At 46.8% G+C, this 20,430-nt stretch overlaps 1 protein-coding gene across 1 annotated transcript in view, besides 3 other annotated features; it reads right to left on the bottom strand.

Annotated features, from left to right (window-relative positions):
* The window catches only part of GABBR2 (gamma-aminobutyric acid type B receptor subunit 2), a 420,827-nt gene that overhangs the window by 271,399 nt on the left and 128,998 nt on the right, over positions 1-20,430 (bottom strand). The window contains exon 2 of the mRNA NM_005458.8: positions 18,428-18,565. Within this exon, the coding sequence (NP_005449.5) occupies positions 18,428-18,565 (138 nt within the window). The remainder of the gene's footprint in view (positions 1-18,427; positions 18,566-20,430) is intronic.
* Positions 4,139-4,308: an enhancer, noted in NCBI's record as "experimental_103859 CRE fragment used in MPRA reporter constructs". NCBI's record gives its function as "activates a minimal promoter by MPRAs in K562 erythroleukemia cells, with activity observed for both the introgressed and non-introgressed 9:101326013 variant alleles {active_cell/tissue: K562}" and the evidence as "EXISTENCE:reporter gene assay evidence [ECO:0000049][PMID:34662402]".
* Positions 6,440-6,940: an enhancer, noted in NCBI's record as "H3K4me1 hESC enhancer chr9:101328229-101328729 (GRCh37/hg19 assembly coordinates)". NCBI's record gives its function as "activates a minimal SCP1, AML or CMV promoter by ChIP-STARR-seq in primed H9 embryonic stem cells {active_cell/tissue: H9 hESC(primed)}" and the evidence as "EXISTENCE:reporter gene assay evidence [ECO:0000049][PMID:30033119]".
* Positions 16,369-16,428: an enhancer, noted in NCBI's record as "active region_28698". NCBI's record gives its function as "activates an Ori minimal core promoter by ATAC-STARR-seq in GM12878 lymphoblastoid cells {active_cell/tissue: GM12878}" and the evidence as "EXISTENCE:reporter gene assay evidence [ECO:0000049][PMID:35858748]".

Consider the following 20,430-nt stretch of genomic DNA (forward strand, 5'->3'; position numbering starts at 1 on the left):
TTTTAAATCAGCCTCTTTCACAAAGAGATTTATTTATTCTAATTGTTTTATGTCTCCATTTAGATATTAGCCTTTTACTTTCAGCTCTTTTAAATCAAGTTCATTCATTAGTTTTCTTAACAAAGATTTATTTTCTAGAAAAATTATAGATGCATTTATCCTTTGACCCAGAAATTCCACTTCTAGGAATTCATACCCAGTTTACACTGGCACAAATGTGACAATGTGGCCAAGGTTATTCCAAGAGATTGGAAATAATCCAAATGTCCATCAGTAGAGGACTGGCTGTACAAACTACAGTACATCCATACAAAGCAGGGCTGTGCATCTGTGAAAAAAAAAATAAGGAATGCCTTTCTACAGTGATAATACAGTGAAATCTGGGAAAATTAAGTAAAAAAAAAAGCAAGGTGCAGAAGAGTGTAGACTGTATGCTCCCTTTGCATAAAAAGAAGAAATGAGGAACAAACACACACACACACACACACTCACACACACACACTTGCTCATATTTTCAATAAGAAAAACTGGAAGGATAAATTAAAAACTAATAACAATGGTCACATTATATAAGGATGGCATGGAACAGAATGGAGAGAGCTTAGATTGGAGCCAAGAATTCTCTGCTATACATTTGACTATGGAATCATATAAAAGTTGTGTATAGTTTTTAAAATAAAATTAATCAACAAGGAGAAAAAAAATCAACCCCTAAACAGTGAAAACAAACCAGGACAAAGGAATCTAGGAATATATTAAGTTTCTAATAGAGTCACATGGAGAAAAATGTGTAAAGAGACTTTTGGACACATTTTCACTGTCCAGCCAAGGAGGACATATTCTTCCTCTCCACTATCCCACCACCCAGCACACGTGCGTGTGCGCATACACACATACACACACACACACATATACACATACACACACACACACATACACACACACACATATATACATGCACACACACACACATATACACACACACACATACACACAAAATACACATACACACATACACACACACAGGCGCATTCACAACTTTTTATTTTGAAAAATATTTAAAGAAGTTGAAAGAATAGTACGAGGAACATTGTATAGCATTCCTATAAATCCAAAAATATTTAAATAAAAATATTTAAAACAAAGAAGTTGAAACAATAGCATGAGGAATACTTTCACTTAGATTCACCATTTTCCACATCTGCTTTCCTCTCTCTCTTTTTAAATATATAGTATATATTATATTTAGTATTATATATATACTATATAGTAGTGTATATATATATATATACATAGACACACATATACATATATGCACACACATACACTTAATGATGTTTTTGAAGCATTTGAAATTAGCTTACAAATATCATGATACCTCATAACTAAATAGTTCAGAGTGCATCTTGGAAAGAATGAAATTATCCTATATCATTATAATGTCATTATCACAGTTATGAAAACGAACAATAATTCAGTATCATCTAATGCGTAGTCCATATTCAAATTTCTTCAATTTCCCAAAAATGCCCTTTTGTTTTAAAAATTCAGGATCCAGTCAATATTCACGCCTTGCTTTTGGTTGGCATTTTTTTAATTTTTTGATTACAACAGGCCTAGGTTGGCTTTATATGGTTTTTCTTATTGTTTTCCACAATATGGACTTTTTAAGAATTCAGGCCAGGTAAATTATAGAATGACCCATATTTGTCTGATTATCTCCTCATAGATTACAGTTTAAACACTTTAAAGATATTAAAAATTATATTTTCAAGCTCATTCCACTGAAAAAAAAAAACCGTGAAGGAATGAACCCCAGTAGCAACAAGTATACCTAGTACCCAAATGTTGGTTTCTTAACACAATTTCCTACCAGGAAGAATCAGGGCTCCTTGGAGGAATGGCTGGAATGGAGGAATGGAGGAATGGCTGATTCCAAGACTAAGGCAGGTAAAATATTAAGTGCTCAAATTAGTAGGGGAAGAGAAACAGAAAGAAGCAGGAGGAGGAGAAGAAAGAGTCAAAAAAGGGAAAGCTGTTCTGGAGAGAAGAATGCAGGCTTAAATGTAGAAGGAATATAATTAGAAAATGAGGTTGGGTGCAGTGGCTCACACCTATAACCCCAGCACTTCGGGAAGGCCGAGGCAGGAGGCTCGATTGAGCCTAGGAGTTTGAATCCAGCCTGAGCAACATGGCGAGACTCCGTCTCTACAAAAAAATTTTAAAATTAGCCTGGCATGGTGGCATGTGCCTATAATCCCAGCTACTGGGGAAGCTAAGGCAGGAGGATCCCTTGAGCGCAGGAGTTTGAGGTTACAGTGAGCTATGATCGTGCCACTGCATTCTAGCCTGGGTGATGGAATGAGACTGTCTCTCAAAAAAAGAAAGAAAAGAAAATTACCATTTTGCAACACCAATATGATACTGAGGCAGGCAAGCATCATAAATTGATGCTAAAACCATTGAGTAAAAGCTTGTGAGGAAATGGGATAGTCATACGGTCTCAGCGTTTCACCCCATAGATTACTTCATAATTACAGAGGGGGAAAAATGTATATTTACAATAAATTTGGAAGATACCACCTTAACCAAGTGATCAAATTTAGTATCATCAATAATAGTTCAAATTGACATCCTGGGCCCCCTGACTCGATGCACTGGGAAGAACACAGCATAAAAAATGTAGTATTCTTGCCAAAACTCATGAATCTAATCATGAGGAAACAAATGACAATTGTGGGACATTTTATAAAACAACTGGCTTGGGTTTTCTGAAAAAAAAGATCACTGTCCTGAAAGCCAAAAATATATGGCAACAAAGACAATGCATGTTCCTTGCTTGTGTCCAAATAAATTCCAATAAGGACAATTTTGGGACAACTGGAAAAATCTCAATATGGACCATATATTTGGTAATATTATTGTATCACTGTTAAATTTTTCAGATGTGGTTATATTAGGGTTATGTAAGAGGATATAATTGTCTTAGGAGATGCATGCTAATGTATTAGGGGTGAAGTGTCATTGTGTGTGCAAACTAATATCACATGCTTCAACAAAAAAATCAGTGACTGTGTGAGCGTGTGTGTGGGGGTGGTGCAGGGAAAGAGAGGAAAAGCAAAAACAAATATGGCAAAATGTAAACAACTGTCAATCCAGATAAAGGGTAAATGATGTTCATTGTACTTTAACTTCTTGTTGCAGGTTAAAGTAACTTTCAAAATAACAAAATTGGAGGAGAATTTTGGGGGAAAGGTAGAAACATAAATAGAGCAGCAAATGCTGGGCATTGTGGCTCACACCTGCAATCCCAGCACTTTGGGAGGCCTAGGTGAGAGGATCACTTGAGGTCAGGAGTTTCAGACCAGCCTGGGCAACATGACGAAACTCCATCTCTACAAAAAATACAAAAATTAGCCGGGTATGGTGGTGTGCGCCTGTAATCCCAGCTACTTGGGGGGCTGAGGGGGGAGGATCGCTTGAGCCCGGGAAATGGAGGTTGCAGTGAGCTGAGATCATGCCACTGTACTCCAGCCTGGGTGACAGAGCGAGACCCTGTCCAAAAAAAAAAAAAAAAAAAAAAAAAAAGAGCAGCAAAAACACTGTCTGCATGAAAAATAATGTCTCCAACTTACTGAAATACAGTACATTCAATATATTTTTGAAAATCTATGAATTCATGATGCTACTTACATTAAAGAGAAAGATTGAGAGCACCGAAAACCAAAATGGAAACCAAAGATTCACAGAGGTTCTCCTGGATTCTGGGCCATGAGCTGGGCTCTAAGGTTCCCCCGGCAAACAAAGGAGACGCTGCCTCGACTTCACAGAGAGAACAGTAACTATCAGGCAAGACTGCACTGAAGGAGGAAGTGAGCATGCTGTGGGCAGCGAGGGTTACCGGTTACGGACGCATCCACCGGAGGCACGCCCTGGAAACGCTTCCCAAACAAGTGGTGCTGAAGCCTTCTTGTTAGCGTGGGCCAGAGGATTGGGCCAAAACAGCTTTGCTGTGCCAAAGGTCCCTGTGCCCAATCCTCTAGGAATGGGCCCAGAGTCTCAGAAGACACCCCGGATGTGAAGGAAGTCATTCCCTCATACTTGCAAAGCCAACATGTCATGTTAGAAGAGGCTAAGACAGTACTATGTAATAGCTTTTATGGGAACATGGGGAAAATAGAGAAAATTATGCTTAAATCAGCATTTATGAATGTCTAGATCGTTATCTAACCTAGGATTGTTTTTCTCAAGTTGAACCCTTCCCACTGTATAAGGCTCAATCTCTTCATCATGGAAATAATAAATAATGTAATCATCTTAGGAAACAGATTCAAAGCAAAAGCCTTCTGTATAATTCACAACTAATGTAGACTATGCTCTATTTAGAAAAAAAATCAGCTCATTCTTTATAAAATCATCCAGAGTAGGACTATAAGTACTATTCTTGAAATACTTAGCATAGTTATTGATTTTCACCAACAACCAGTCGATCTATTTTCTGAGTTTGAAGGAATCATTTATTTTTTATACACAAGTTACTGAATGAGTAATAAGTTTAAAAGTGCTATGTATGCATGTGTGTGTGCATGTGTGGGTGTGTGGGGGTCATGAATGATTTACAGGGAGAACACAGCCTGTGTCAGGGGACACGTACTGCCTGGGTCCTCCATGGACAGGCAGGAAGTTCCTCGCCAACACAGCTGGAGAGGGAGGCAGAGACCCGGAGTCTGGAGCCTCCATGGCCCCCAGAGAGGCCACTCTTAGAGGCCTTCGGGAGACCTCACCTTGTGGCCTGCTTGCAGCAGGAAGCAGGGCCAGACTCTACTTTCTTTGAATCTTATTTTCCCCAATCTGAGAACAGGCCTAACTGGGACAACGCCTGCTCTTCAACCCCAAGTAGTGCAGTGAGGGTTACATGATACTGTGTGACAGGCAGTGTAGACTTGCGGTTGCAAGCAGGGACTCCGGAGCCATTTAAGAAGGGCAATCCTTTGGCAAGGCACTCAACCTCTTTGTGCCTCAGTTTTCTCATCTGTGAAATGAGGAGAATAACAGCCTCTTAGGGTTGGCATGTGAAGTGAATGAGTTAATTTATGCACAGTGTTTAGAACCATGCCTGGCCCATGGCAAAGGCTATAGACATGTGACAAATTAGTTTTTTAACAGGCCCTACAGGTGTGTCCAGTCACAATTCCTGAGCACCTACTTGAGGCAAGGCCCTTGGGGTACTGCTAAGACTCAGATGGGCAAGGACTGTCTGGGCCTGAAGGAGTTGTTTGGCAGGTGACACTGAAACCTCATCAGGGATTGTAATATATTGAGGAATGGGCAAAACAAAGGAAGTGAGGAAAACGCTGGGTACCTCCTCCAGCTGGGACCAGGGTTGGGGAAGACTAGGAAGCCTTCCTGGAGGAGGAGGTAAGACTTGAACTAAATATCAGGAAATACAGAGGACTGAGCCGGGGAGGAGGGGGAGCAGAAAGGGCATCGTGCAGTGAGAACAACATGGGCAACAGCTCTTGAGCTGTGGGGAGCAGGTTCTATGCCTTAGCATGAGGGGAAAGGACCAGACGGGGAAGGCCACCAGAAAGGCTGGCACCACAGCTCTCTGCCCTACCTGAGGTATGACTTTACACAGGCCACATCAGCTCTCTGGGCCTCACTTCCTGCAGAAGGGGTGTCCTACACCTGGAAAGCTCTGGCGGAGATCAAGAGACATTAAAGCTGAAGGCCTGGCACAGCTGCAAGGCTGCTCCTCTACTCTGTGTGGAGTTACATGTGTGAGCGGCCTCAGCCCCTGAGCACTTGCCTGGTTCCTTCTCACAGCTTCTAGACATGGAGGGGAAACCAGGCCTTATGAGCCCAGGGAAATCACATGCAGAGGCCCAAGAGGGACGATGCCAGGCTTAAGGCAGGCACTGATGGCTCTGAGCCACAGGTCATAATGACACAACATTATCGAGGTTATCAAGGCCCATCAACTGGCCCAACCCACTCCTCTTACACAGGGGCCCACAAGGAGCAAGAGATATCCCAAGACCACATAGCTCATCCCATGGAGGTGACCCCAGATCCCAGGGCTCTGTCTCTACCTGCACAGATAGGCCAAGATGTCACCTGGGTGACTATGTCCTTGAGTGGATGGCCACAGGAGGAAGAAGGAAGGCAATGCACCAGCACCCAGGGTCAGTATAATGCCACTGCCAAGCCCCAGACCAGGAACCGAGGCTGGAAGAGGCTAAGCAACCTGCCCCAGGCACCAGCTAACAAGCACCAGAGCCTGGATGTGAACCCCAGCCTATCTGCCCAAGCCTGAGACGCGTACCCGGTATTATTGGTATGTTGGCTCTCTGGCCCTCCATTTGCCCATCTGCACAGGTGAGCACCACACACCTTACCAAACACAACACTGGACGGGGCAGTCAGTGCCATGCCACCACATGCACCCGTGTGTCTGTCCGCAGAGCACCTGCCCAGCGGCTCAGCAGGCATCTTCCCAGTCTCACACTCTAAGGCAGTGGTTCCCACCCATGGCTGTGCCTCAGAATCACCCAGGGTGCTAACACACAGCACAGAGGATGAGGCGCCTAGAAGCAGGACGAGAGCTGGCGAAGGTGACCAACTTGTCCCGGCCAGCCTGGGACTTTCCTGGTTTGAATACTCACAGTCCTACTTCCTGGGGCACTCTCAATCCCAAAACAGGTATGATTGGTCACCCTATGCCTAGTGGGTTTTTGTATTTTACCAAGTTTCCAGGGGATCTTGATACTCATGAAGTTTGAGAACCACTGCCATAAAAAAAGCCCATTTTTAGTCAATTTTCCTCAACAAAATAGTAACCTTCACTCATGAATTACAGGAATGATGTTTTAAGAATAATATTGATGGCTGGGTGCAGTGGCCCACACCTGTAATCCCAGCACTTTGGAAGGCCGAGGCGGGCGGATCATGAGGTCAGAAGATCAAGACCATCCTGGCTAACACTGTGAAACTCCGTCTCTACTAAAATTACAAAAAATTAGCCAGGCACGGTGGCGGGCACCTGTAGTTGCAGCTACTCGGGAGGCCGAGGCAGGAGAATCATTTGAACCCAGGAGGTGGAGCTTGTAGTGAGCCGAGATTGTGCCACTGCACTCCAGCCTGGGTGACAGACTGAGACTCCGTCTCAAAAAGAAAAAAAAAATTTAAATTAGCTGGGCGTGGTAGTATGTGTCTGTAGTCCCAGCTGCTCAGGGAGGCTGAGGTGGGAGGATCACTTGAGCATGGGAGGTCAAGGCTGCAAGACACTGTCAAAAAAAAAAAAAAAAAAAAAAAGGCGACAAAGAAAAAGAAATAAGAAAGAAGAAGAAAGAAGAAGAAGAAGATTACATGCCTGCTGGGTGCCCAGCACTGTGTGACACATTTATTATTTCTATCTCTCATCCCAACCTTATTAGGCTGGTGTTAATCCCATTTTACATGTTTGTCCCCAGAGGGAGCTCATTTTCAAATTCCCTCTCCAGTTCTTTCTAGATGCAATCTGTAATTCCAGACTCAACTCTGTGTAATCTACAATTGTGCCGATCACTAGCAGCACCAGCTGTACCGTAAGTAGCGCGAGTGATTTATTTATTTAGAATGAATTATTTACAGCCCACATATTCCCAGAAAAGGGTTGAAGTGGCTGGCGGTGAAAGACGCATAAACAATGAGGCCACTGGACTTACACATTGGGAACTGATATTACTTTAGAGACCATGATCTTGAATTAAAAATAGGGGTCAGAACCTTAAATTGAATCTTTCACCAGGCCAACAGGAAAGACATGGGGTATGTCCTTGCAGGAATAGATTGGGAACCACCCTGCCCTCGATAGCATCCAGCCCTTCTTTAACCTACCTCTGCTTCTCTGAAAACCAGAAAGAGTGTGTGTGCCCTCTAACAGCTGCCTGGGGCTTCTTTCGCCTCTCCTGTAAGTTCTCTGTTTTAATTTTACTGTTCTGAATCATCTTCATGGTCGGTGAGAGTTAATTTCATCCACACAACTTTAGATCTGAAGACAAATGGAGACCTATACATTTTCAGGGCCCGGTTGGCATCACAGTTGCGGTAACATCACCACCTGAGATCTTAGTGGGCCTGATGGTCTGCAAAGTGCTCCCACATGCTCCAGCATCCCTGTCCCATCTAATGCTCTCAATAGCCCCAGAAGGGTGGACGGGATTACCTCCTTGATACTGTGAGTTCAGTGAGGCTCTGAGGGGGCTGCTAATTCGCCTAAGTTCCCTCTGTCAGTGAGAGGCATCAGAGGGAAAATGACCCGGAGCTTCGGAATTCCAGTCCTCTGTTCAGTCTCCTGCATCAAACTGCCTCTTTGCCATGTCTCCCTCTTTTGGGGTGGTGGTGTTGGGTGGTGGATTTGCACTGCTTCAGGAGAGCCTGGGAGAGTATACAGCAGGCGCTGCACTTGTTGAGTGAGAGAATGAATGAATAAATATAGCATGAGTCAGTGAATGAATGAATGATTGGATGGATGGATGAATGAGTAAGAACAGAACCTCTCTTCCCCTGAAGATCGGAGGGTGCTGCCAGGATCCACGCAAGCCAGGCTGGATGCGGGGACCACATCTCCACCCCTTCCACCAAAGGAGTGGGGGTTTGGATCATGAAGGGCAGTGATACCCCAGGCCAACTCAAAGCTGTGGAATGAACCTCCCCCTCCATCCCTCACACACATTATTGGGTCCCTGTAAGTGGCACCAGGCATGGAGAGACTAATCAGACATGTCCACTGTCTTTAGGGTACCACAGTCAAATGGGGGGGCAGAAATGGAGACAATGATGACACTGTGGTGTAGAGACAATCCTGTAACAAGGGATGCTGGACACATGGCGTAACATGCCCAGAGGCTCAGAAGAGCCAGCAACTCACTTGCCAGCTCTCACAGGCTGGACGTGGTTTTCAAGGTGAAAAGGAGAGGACGGGCCTGCAGGCTTGGGGGACCACTCAGGGGAAGGCTGGGGCCTTCAAAGAGCACAGAGCAGCTGAGCAGCTTCAAGGGACTCTGGGTGCTGGAGCTGGGAGATTTGGGGCAAATGAGGTGGGAGGGGCAGTCACCAGCCAGCACTTTGTCCACCACAGAGCCTGCCACATGTTCCCCTCTCCATCCCTCTGGCCTTTGCAGTGGCCTTCAGCTGCCCCACAGCCCTGTGTCCTAGGAATGCTGTTGCCATGGCCACCATGGGTCCCGCTTCAAGCCAACTACCAGACTTCTCTGTCCTGAAAACCCTTCTGTGGGTTCCTTCTTCCTTCTACCAATTGTATCCAAACAAAAAGCTACCAAGCTTTTCCTCACCTCATGTGTGACATGCTGCCCACTTTCAACACTGGGCTTGACTGCACTGGGCATCTGATGACAGCCAGGAAGGACTCTCCAAAGTCCCCAGGTCCTTGGGGTCTCTTCTGCCCTCTCTGCTTGGCCCATAGTGCATGCCCTTAGCATCATTTCTCCTCTTCCCTTTCTTCTTGTTTTTAATGAATCCAGAAGGTGGAAGCATCTCATAGATTATTAATGTGCTAAATGGCCCCCCTGGAGACCAGTGCAAAGAAATGGCTCCAACCCGTGCTGGATTACTGGCCTCTATTCTCTTTCTTAGAGAGCAGCAGCAACAGTTTCCAGCTGTGCCTCATCGTACTGCTACTTCCAAATGGTTTCCAATCAAGGCTGCAGGCTCACTTGCGTGCTCTGTGGAAGGGTGTGGCAGTCACATGGGCCAGGTTGTGGCGGGATTCTGGCCTGGGTGGGTTTTGACTGTTGGGGGCTGAGAGGCAGACGTTGTGTGTACTTTGAGCATCTTGCTGAAGAGCCCCCATTCCATCCCTGACTCCTTATTTTCAGAGTCTGCAGTGTCAAAGTAAAAAACCCTGTTGTCCATGCAAAGCTTTAAACTCCAATGGCCGTAATCAGAGATCTGCTTCTAGTAAAGGAGTCCTGGGCATCATAACAGCAGCTACTGGATTACAGTTTATAAAAGCGCTTTCCCTTGGAGAAAAAACAACTGCATAAAACATAGAAGGCAGGTTTGCTATTCCCATTTTACATAACAGGAAAGTGAGGCTAAGGGAGAGAAAATCAGACCATGGCACATGCTGCAAAGTGCTGGAGGGTGAGCCACGGAGCCCAGTGTCGCTGTTACTGTGAGACTTTGGCAAGGCCCCTACCCCATCTGGTCTCTGTTTTTCAGCCTGTACAACAGGGAGACTGGACCTAATGCCTGCTAAGCCTCTACGACCTCTGCCATTCCATGAATCTACCTCAAATTCCACAAGCCACAGCTAAGCAACAAGCAATCTTTTGATTTCTCAGACAGCCTACAGTTTAATAAAATAATCATTTGAGAAAATCATGTCAGATCACAAAATTTCTGTTCCTATGAAACAAAATGGCATTGACTGACCGTTTAGAATGATGCCAGAATTCAGTAAATAGCAAAAGGCCTGATTTGGGGGTTCTCACTGATTTGTTTTTTAAATGTCAAAACCAGGCATGCTTTCGAGTTTTCAGAAATCAAGTCCTAAACGTATTGGGACTCCATTGCCAATACCTCTACACACATAGAGTCAACATCCTCCCATCTGAAAGTCCTCCTTGCCTCCACTCCCTCACATGAACTTCTCCAAGGAGACAGCCCCATGACACAAGCCGAAATGTTCCTTCCCAGGAAGGTCCTCGTGGGGAGTGCCAAGGTGGGCCACAAGGCAGGGTGGGCTGTCGAGGGGCGGCTGGGGACAGCGCTGGGAGAAATGCATCTACAATTTAATAATCTGCCACGGCTGCCTTTTAAAGGACAAGCTCTGTGGGATGCAGTTCTTGAGGAAATAGTGTTTGCGTTTTCCTACGAGCAGCCCTTTATCCCTTTAGGAATCTGACTTTATTTTCATCAGCAAGATGATTTCTGTCTGCAAGCTGAAGCTGCGATAATCTCACTCCCAAGCAGGAAGGAGTGTGGTCCTGGTCTCTGAGGATGTCTAACTCCCTCTTGCTAGCATCTCTTGGACCTTTCCCATGCTCTGTCTCCATCTTCCCCACCCAGCTCCAAATTCTCCTGGTTTTTCCCAGGCCCCATGCTTTCAGGACAAACCAGGCTGGTGGGAGATCTGCAGGACTGCCCCAAAAACTGCAAACACAAGCCACCCTTAGGTCTCTGAGGACAGGATTCTGGGTGGGACTGAAAAAAACTGCAAAGGAAACTTATCAGTTAGAAAACCAGGGGGCGGGGGTTCCTGAGATGGGAGATGCGGGCTGAGGCTGAGCCCAAGGCTGTGTTAGGGCTCCCTCTGTGTCCGTTTAACAAGAGGCTGCAGCTGGAGAGTCCTTGGGTGACTTTAGGTCTGGCACACTCTGATGACGTGCCCTTGGTTGTTAGGGGACCAACCCAAGGCCTAGAAGGCAGGCACCTGGCTCTCCGTCAGCAAATACGCCCTGAGCACTGCTCTGGCATCACTGCCAGGCCTGTACCAGGCCGAGGGGCAGGGTGAATGAGACACAATTCTAACCTCAGGCAGCTGCAGGCCGGGGGTGGGCAGACATAGCAAACACCCTGGGAGGGATGTGCAGGTCAGGTCAGGAAGCACAGGGGAGGCCATGGGGGGCTTTGCAAAGAAGGGACACCCAAGCTGCACCAGGAAGAATGAGCATAGTCCTGCCAGCAGCCTGTACTGAGGCTGGCAGCATGAAGGGGCAGGAGGTGGGCTGGGAAAACGGCAAGGTGATGGTGCACTCCATGGACTGTGCCCCACCATGGACTGTGAGCTTCATCCTAGCGGCACTGGGATACTTGCCCTGGCAGCATCCCCCTGTGACCGCCTCCATGTCCTCTTTCCCACACGGGCAGCATCAGTTGGAGTTTTTTGGACCAGCAGCATTTGTTAAAGAGCCCAGGTGTCTGGGGGATGAACAGGCCTTAGAGAGCTCCTGGCCTGGCAAGTCTCCAGGGGCCAACAGCATCACAGTCACCTGAGCCACTGGTACTGAAATGGCTGTGGTTTTGATCAGCGGGGAATACAGTCCTAGAGGGATCTGATAAATCCCCTAACCTAGACCTGCTCAGAGTGGAGCCCTAGAATTTGCACTGTTACCAAGAACCCCCGTAAGTGACTCTTCCCATATAGTTGGAGAGCCACTGACCTGGTCTATGCCTACTCTGTGTATTAAATTTCCCCAACAGCAGGCCTGGCTGAAACTGGACTTCTCAGGGAACCTTGGCCCACAGGGAACTCATGACTTCACAGCCAGGCAGCGTGCTCCATGCTGGAAGCTTCCAGAGGCAGGGCTTGCTTGCAGGAGGTGGAAACGCTGCTCCCTGATAACTTTGGCCGTGGCTCCTGCTTCTCCCCACTTGCACCAGAGACCAGCAAAATCTATCAAAGACAGCCATGCAATGCTGGAGGCCTGGACTCCTCCCTCCTCCCCAGTGCCCCATGTGCTCTCCAGGCTGAACACCCTCAGCTCTCCAATGTCTAGACCTTGACCCTTCCCTGATGCTTTCCTGGGTCATGCCCTAGTGGGTTCCTCCCAGCATGAGGCCCAGATCAGAGCCCTGCACCCTGAGCAGGCTCTGACAGTTTGGAGAGGGACAGAACCAATCTCACCTGCATGTCAGACCCTGGACTCTATGAAGGTCCTTGCATATAGAGGGAGAAACAGGTTCCCAGTGGCTAAGTGACTCACATCACGACTAAAACAATATTAGCCTCTCTATGCAGCAGCTATGAATCAAGAGGCCCAGCAAAAGGCAAAAGTTAAATTTAACCCGTTTCAGCACCAGGGTGAATTTTCACCCCTCTGGTGTGTGAATCCCTATTTTTGTGACACAAGGAAACAGAAACAACTGATTACGCATTCCTGGCTGTCTCTGTCCAGCAAGCATTGCTCCTCCAAAAAGGGCCGCCAGAGCTCCTTTTCAATTACACAAATTCCATGCAGTTTTCCATTTGTGAAGCTCTGTTTTGAAGCCCAGTCTTGAGTAAGTTAAGAGATTTATCAAATCCCTTGGGCACCTGTAGACCCACCCATCCACCCCTTCACCATCTCTGGAAACAAGCTTAGCCTCCCTGTGTTGGGGTTGGGGTGGCTTGGGAGGTCCACAGAGTCTGGCTTATAATAAATGGGTCTAGGTTTCCTGAGAGTGAGAAGGAGGCAGGAATCCAGGCTCCCAGGCTACTCCCAGATCAAGATCCTGATCTTTGTTCTTATATCTTCCTTGCCTGGCTGCACAAGCCTGGGAGAAATCCACTCTCTTGGGCTCATCTACCATTCTGCCTCCCAGGTCCTCAGAGAAGTCCAAACTGTTGAGTACCCTCCAGTTCCAAGCCCCCCCAGCATGCCCCATCCACGTCCAGTTGCAGCCGTTGATCCAGCCCCAGTGTCTAGTAGTGAATGCTAGGGCAGTATTGTCTGGGTGTGAGCATCTTCCCCCACAAGGAGCCTGGGAAAATGCAGAGCGATTCTGTGGAGGTGGAGGCTGAGATTCTGCATGGTCCACCGCCCTCCCTGCCCTACAGTCAGGGCCACACTGTGAGAGGCTCCGCCATGCAGCATCTCAGGCCCCTCCGTCCACCTATCCTCTGCACTTAGCACATTTCAGTACTCAGTGAGGACCTACTGTGAGCCCAGACCCTGCGCCAGACACTGGGAACCAGGAGATGAAGGAAGGGGTGGGGAAGGGCTGCCCCCAAGAAGCTCACAATCTGATATGGAAGACTGGCATATAGAACAAATTATTTTTCACAACACTTATTATTTTTTTTAATAGAGGCAGGGTATCGCTTTTTCGCCCAGGCAGGAGTGCAGTGGCATGATCATAGCTCACTACAGCCTTGAATTCCTAGGCTTGAGCAATCCACCCACTTCAGCCTCTCAAGTTCCTGGGACCACAGGAGTGTGCCACCACACCCGGCTAAATTTTATAATTTTTTGTAGAGATGAGGTCTCACTATGTTCCCCAGGCTGGCCTCAAACCCCTGGCTTAAAGCCATCCTCCTGCCTTGGCCTCCCAAAGCACTGGAATTACAGGCATGAGCAACCATGCCCAGCCCATTTTTTAAATTTTATTTTTGTTAATTGAGGTAAAATATACATATAAAATTTACCATCTTTACCAATTTTAAGTGTACAATTCATTGACATGAAATTTATTTAATAAGAGAATACTGTACACAATATAGAAGGATGTAGAACAGTGTTTCTCAACCTTCGTTTCACTGTTAGTCTCCTAAGAAGTCTTTCTGGCTGTTTTTTCCTACTCTTGCCCCCTGGTGAAATTGTAATACCACAGGCATGCATAGATCTGTTTGTGTACTACATCTATATCTATGCTTTATACATTAAAAAAGTAAGATTTTTTTTGCCTCGCCACAAGAACCAATGTTTACTCCCTTGGAGAAGATATCACCCCCTATTGGGAATGCAGGGTGTAGCGGAGGAAGAAATAATTAATTTACTTTTTGAGCGGGGAATGGGCGGCACTGAAGGAAAGGGGGAAAAGAAGGAGATCAGGGAAGGCATCACAGAGGAAGTGGTATCCGGGGTTTTGAAGGATGAGCAGGAGTTCTGCAAAACAGGGCAGGGCCTCAGCATCAAGTGCCCCTTGCTGGGCAACTGGAGTTCCTGCCTTCCTCCAGACATTAGTCACTATAGTATCCAGTCTCCAAGCTAGCACCCAGTGAGCTTACCTCCCACTACACCTTGGTACTATTCCTCTCTAAATAAGAGCTAATTTGTGTGATCCACAGATTTCAGCAGAACTTATAGTATGCAATTTCCAAAGCTAAGTCCCAAAAGACTTTGTCACCTCTGCCTTGGTCTTTTCGTGACTCACTTTGGGGGATGCCAGCTGCCTTGTCATGAGGACACTCAGGCAGCCCTATGGAGACCTCCACATGGAGAGGAGCCACACTGGAAGCAGATCCTTCGGCCCTAATCAAGCCTTCAGATGATGCCAGCCCCCAGCCTTCAAATCCTCCAGCTGGGCCCCAAACACCATGGAGCAAACACAAGCCATTCAGTGTGTCTGAATTCCTGAACCAGAGAAATAATGAAATAATACATAATATTGCTGTTTTAAGACACTAAATTTGGGGGGATTTGTTACCCAGTGGTAAATAACTAACACAGTCCCCATCTTGTAACCCAGTTCTATGTCTTATCATCTCCTCTAGGTTGGAGGGCTGTCCTGCTCATGGAGAGGCCAGGTAGCTGTGGTCTGCAAGCTGGGAGTTTCCAACGTTGTGCTTGTTCCTGCAGCTCCTCAGGGAATTCTGAGGGACAGGTGGTTCCAAGTGACACTGAGAATCAGTGGAATCAGCTGGATTCCTCTCTGGGCAGGGGATTTCCCTGGGACCTCAGCCTCTCATGCCTGGACAAAGCGTCCATCTTCAGATCCTTCCATCCCTTCCCACCTCCCTCCATCCCTCTGATCATTGAGCAGATTTCTAATGAAGACTGTGAAATGATAGGCACAGGGAAAAAGAAAAGTCCAGGTTCTGTCCTTAAGAAGCTCACAGCCCAGCTGGAGAGACAAACATTTATAAACACCACCACCCCCCCCCAAATCTGCAAAACCCTAAGAGAGAGACAGGCAGAGTGGAGTGGGACACTGGGCTGTGCACAAGCTCTGCTAGAATTAAACAAGGGGAAGTGATAGGCTTTCTAGGGCCCTACTTTAGCAGCCCCCTAGGAGCAGGCAGGAAAGGCTTCCTGAAGGAGGCAGCATTTAAGCTGGGTCTTAAAGAATGGGCAGCACTTGATACACTGGGTATAGGAAGAATGGGATGTTTTGGGTGGTAGGAACAGTGTAAGAAAAGGTGGGAATGCAAGAAAGACCAGGAATGACAAGTAATCAGGGGACTCAACTTGGGGAGTGGGAGGAGACAGGGCAGGACTAACCACAAAGAACACTTAGTTAGCACTAACTGTGTGCCAGACACAGCTCTAATCCTTTTTCAGTCTTTCCATCCACACAACAAACCAATGAAAGCAGTCCTATTACTACCTTGATTATGCAGATGATGAAACTGAGGCTCAGGGAGGCAGCACATGGCTCTAACTAATAGAGAATGTGCTCCTCAATGTTCAGGAAAGCAAGCTCAAGCCCAGAGAATCTAAGTGACTGGTCCAAGGTCTCCACAGCTGTCCTGGGCACCCTGAGGGCATGAGGCCAGGCTCCCACGGCACACTGAGCCATGCTGGCTTTCAGGTGTGTGGTTAGGTTTGTGGTTAGGTTTGCACCAGAGCACATGGCTGCTTTTCTGGTCTCCTCTTCCTGTTGCATCCACCCACAATCAGTGTGGCCTGCTCCGGCCACAAGGAATGACTCAGCACTCCCCAAGCCCACATACTTTCCCACCTCCCGCTTTTGCACGCCCAGTTTCCTCTGCAGCGGCGCTCTCCCCCATGTCTCCAGCTGTCCAACGCCCTCTCCTCCTTCAGCAGCCAGCTTCATGCACCTACCATAGCACCTGCCCTGGGGCTTCCTTGACCCGGGGCTAAGTGAGGGGCCCTCGCCCGGGCCCCACCTCTCTTTCATCACACCTGCCATAGCTTGTGCCCACCACCCCTCGTGGCTGCAAGCTTGGGCTCCACCCCAGCACCCCATGCATGCAGCACCAGACACAGAGGAAGTCCTCAGCCAGTGCAAGTGGAATGAAACAGATCCTCTATGTGGTCAGGCTCCTGCTCACCCTGTCACTCACTCTCTTCACCCTGGCTCCCCACCCATCATGCTCCAGCCCCATTTCCCTGTTTTCTGTTCCACGAATACACCAGGTCCTTTCCTATCACAAGCTGCCTTCCTCCGTTTACTATTCCATTCACTGACATGGAATGCGCTTCACCCAGTGGTCTCCTTCTCACCCTTTGGGTCTCAGCTTGAATGTCACCTCCTCCAAGAGACCTTTTCTGACTACCCCAAGGCAGTCACTATATATCTCATCACCCTGTTTCCTTCTGTCATCGCCAAGTTTCCTTACTACAGTCTTATCTTAAGGGCCAGACTGCTTGAGTTAAAATCCTGGCCCTACTACTTACTAGCTGTGAGTCCTTGTGCAAGTTAGATAGCTTTTCTGTGCCTCAGTTCCATTATCTATAAAATGGGGATAAGGTACCTAAAGCATAGAGTGGATTTAAAAATTAAAAGAGTTCACGCAGAAAAATACTAAGAACAGTGTCTAGCACATGGCAGACCCTCCATATACAACCTTAATAATATTATTATTTAATTACTTACTTGCTTCTTGCCTGTCTTCCTCCTAGAATGTAAGCTCCAGAATAATGTGAACCATACCTATCCTGTTCAGCATTGTATCCCCAGTGTGCCTACCAAAATCCAGGCACAGAGTAAGTTGCCTAAAATATTTGTTGGATGGATGGATGGATGGATGGATGGATGGATGGATGGATGGATGGATAGGTGAATGGGTGGGTGGATGTATGGATGGATGGATGTATGGGTGGATGGATGGATGGATGGACAGACGGATGGAAAGATGGATGGATAGGTGGATGGATGGATGGACAGATGGATGGATGGATAGGTGAATGTGTGGATGGATGGATAGCTGAACGGGTGGATGGGTGGATGCATGGATGGATGGATGGATGGATGGATGGTTAGGCGAATGGATGGGTGAACATATGGATGGATGGATAGGTGAATGGATGGATGGATGGATGGATGGATGGAGCAAAAAAGTAAACATGTGTATGGGCCACCACTCACCCCTGGTGGTCATATAGTTCTACACTCTTCTTTCCCATCCCAAATAACAGCTAACACTGGAAAGTCTCACCTACAATAGACTGTATATATGTTGGTGGAGCATTCAATGATGTATAAAATCTGCCAGGGCAAAGAGTGAATAATTGGCAAGGAGACCAGGAAAGACTTAACCGAGGACAAAGGCAGTCGTAGATAACAAAAGAGAATCTCAGTGGGAAAGGGAGACTTGGCAGAGAATTGATGAGGAGTCATCTGGTTAAGGGAACGGTGAGAGCAGGGCTCTGAGGCCCAAAGGTCCAGGGCGCATGTGTGGAAAGGCAGGGTGTCTGGCAAGGCTGTGCTGTGGAGCAAGTGGAAGGAGCAGGAGATAACACTGGGCAGGCAGGTTGGACTGGCATCAGTGGCTCTGAAAGCTGGGCTAGGGAGTCAGTGGTGAGCCCTGAAGCCTTCAAATACATGGTGATAGCATCAGGGCTGCCCTTTAGAGACCTACTGTGGGGGCCATGCCAAGTCAGGCCAGCAGTGAAAGGCTGTGCTATCACCCAGGAGAAAGTCCAGGAGGCCTGACCCAGGCAACATAGAAACCACATTGTACAAGGAATAATTCCTGCAAAAGACTGAGGGCCAACCAAAGACACCTCCCCACAAAAGAAGGTAGCTCAGACCTTACCTGCACCAGATTCCAGCCTTGGAGGGACTCTGCAATGATGGATGTGACGGATGGACAGACGCCTCCAAACACCATCAAGTGGTTAGGCCCGTATTTTATTGCATCGTAGAAGGCTTTCAACCCTTTTGCGTTGTCGCACTGGGAAGCAACACATAGAAAGAAAGGTCCAAATTAGAAACAGCTTTTCCCCAGGGGCATGAGCCCAACAAACAAATCTTTCCTCATGGAAACCTTCTGGGTTTCAGTTCTCCCATGGTGGGGAGTCTCCTTAAGCCAGCCCTGAGTCCACGCTGTAAGCTCCAGGAGTGTGGTCTTGGCACCCACTATCCTGTCTCTGCTCCCGCTAAGTGCCCTCCAAATCTAGGACCTCTCTCCAGCACCCCAGCTATCTCCCTTTAGAGCACACTTAGGAAAAGTCCCATAATGCCTCGCCCTGGGATCTCACTTTTTCATGGCCATTTATATTTTAAGGATGATCCCACACTCATTAAAATGGCTATCATTAAAAAAACACACAGAAAACAACAAGTATTGGCAAGGGTGTGGAGAAACTGGAACTGCTGTGCCCTATTAGTGGGAATGTAAGATGGTGCAGCTGCTGTGGAAACAGTATAGTGGTTCCTGGAGAAGTTAAACACAGAATTGCCATATGATCTAGCAATTCCACCTCTAGACGTATACCCAAAACAACCGAAGGCAGGGACTTGAAGAGATAGTTGTACACCCATGTTCATAGCAGTATCATTCATGATAGCCAACAGATGGAAACAACATGAATGCCCATCAACAGGTGAATGGATAATGGAACAGTAGTGTATCCATGCAGTGGAATATTTCCAGCCTGGAAAAGGAAGGAAATTCGGACACACGCTACAACGTGGATGAACCTTGAGGACATTATGCTAAATAGAATAAGCCATACAAAAAGACAGCTATTATATGATCCCACTCATATGAGGTTATCTACAGTAGTTAAATTCATAGAGAAAGAAAGTAGAAATGGTGGTTGCCCGGGGCTGGGGGGAGCAGGGAAGGGGTCTTCATTGTTTGACAGGCTCAGAGTTTCAGTGGGGATGATGGAAGTGTGTTGGAGGTGGATGATGGTGATGGTAGCTCAGCAATGTAGATGTACTTAATGCCACTGAACTGTACACATAAAAATGGTTAAAATGGCAAATTTTAGGTTATGTATATTTTTACCACAGTCTTAAAAAAATGATGATGAGGATAAATCTAAAGAGAAGATTCATTCAGCAAACACTTGCCAAGGACTACTCTGTGTTCAGTCCAGGGCTGGACGTTGAGGAAACATAAAAATTGGATGCAGCCCCTGCCAAGGAGCTTCCGTATTAGAGAGAAAAGTTGGCCAAGGAAACAGTTCACGGCGACCCAGCATAGGAATGGAAAGAGGCCAGGGGCCCACGACGAGTATCAGGATTCAGTTCTGGCTCACTCAGCGCCTTTCCATCCCCACCTCCCTCAGTCAAACCCTGTGGTCATCTCTCCCCTGGACAGTGGCTTTGGCTTCTACTGGGTGTCTTACCTCCCCATGGGCAAGTTCAACCCCTCCACCATCTAGCTGTCTGAGGGTCCTTTGTCAAACATCAATGAATTCTTCTCACTCTTCCTGCTTTCCATGCACTTAAAACCCAAACTCCTATCACAATATAACTCTCAAAAGGTTAAAAACATAATTCTCATGAAAATCGATAGTGAACACATGTCAAAGTTTTATTTAACTCATTAATAAGGAGATCTGCAGGATGGCAAAGTGGATTCAAAAGAGAATTTAAGGAACCGGGACTGAAAAAAGGAATAAGATAAGAGTGCCAAATTAGATACAAAACTGGTTAATGTCCTACAGGGCAATAAAACCACAACCTTTGGGGATAGAAAGAAAATCACTGAAAATCAGCATATCTTATCTGTTTTAGAGGATTGCAAAATGTTTAGGTCTTAATTGATTGAGCAAAGTTCTATTCCCGCAGTCAGATGACCCTTAG

Source organism: Homo sapiens, chromosome 9 (genome assembly GCF_000001405.40).
Source record: "Homo sapiens chromosome 9, GRCh38.p14 Primary Assembly".
NCBI lineage: Eukaryota > Metazoa > Chordata > Mammalia > Primates > Hominidae > Homo > Homo sapiens.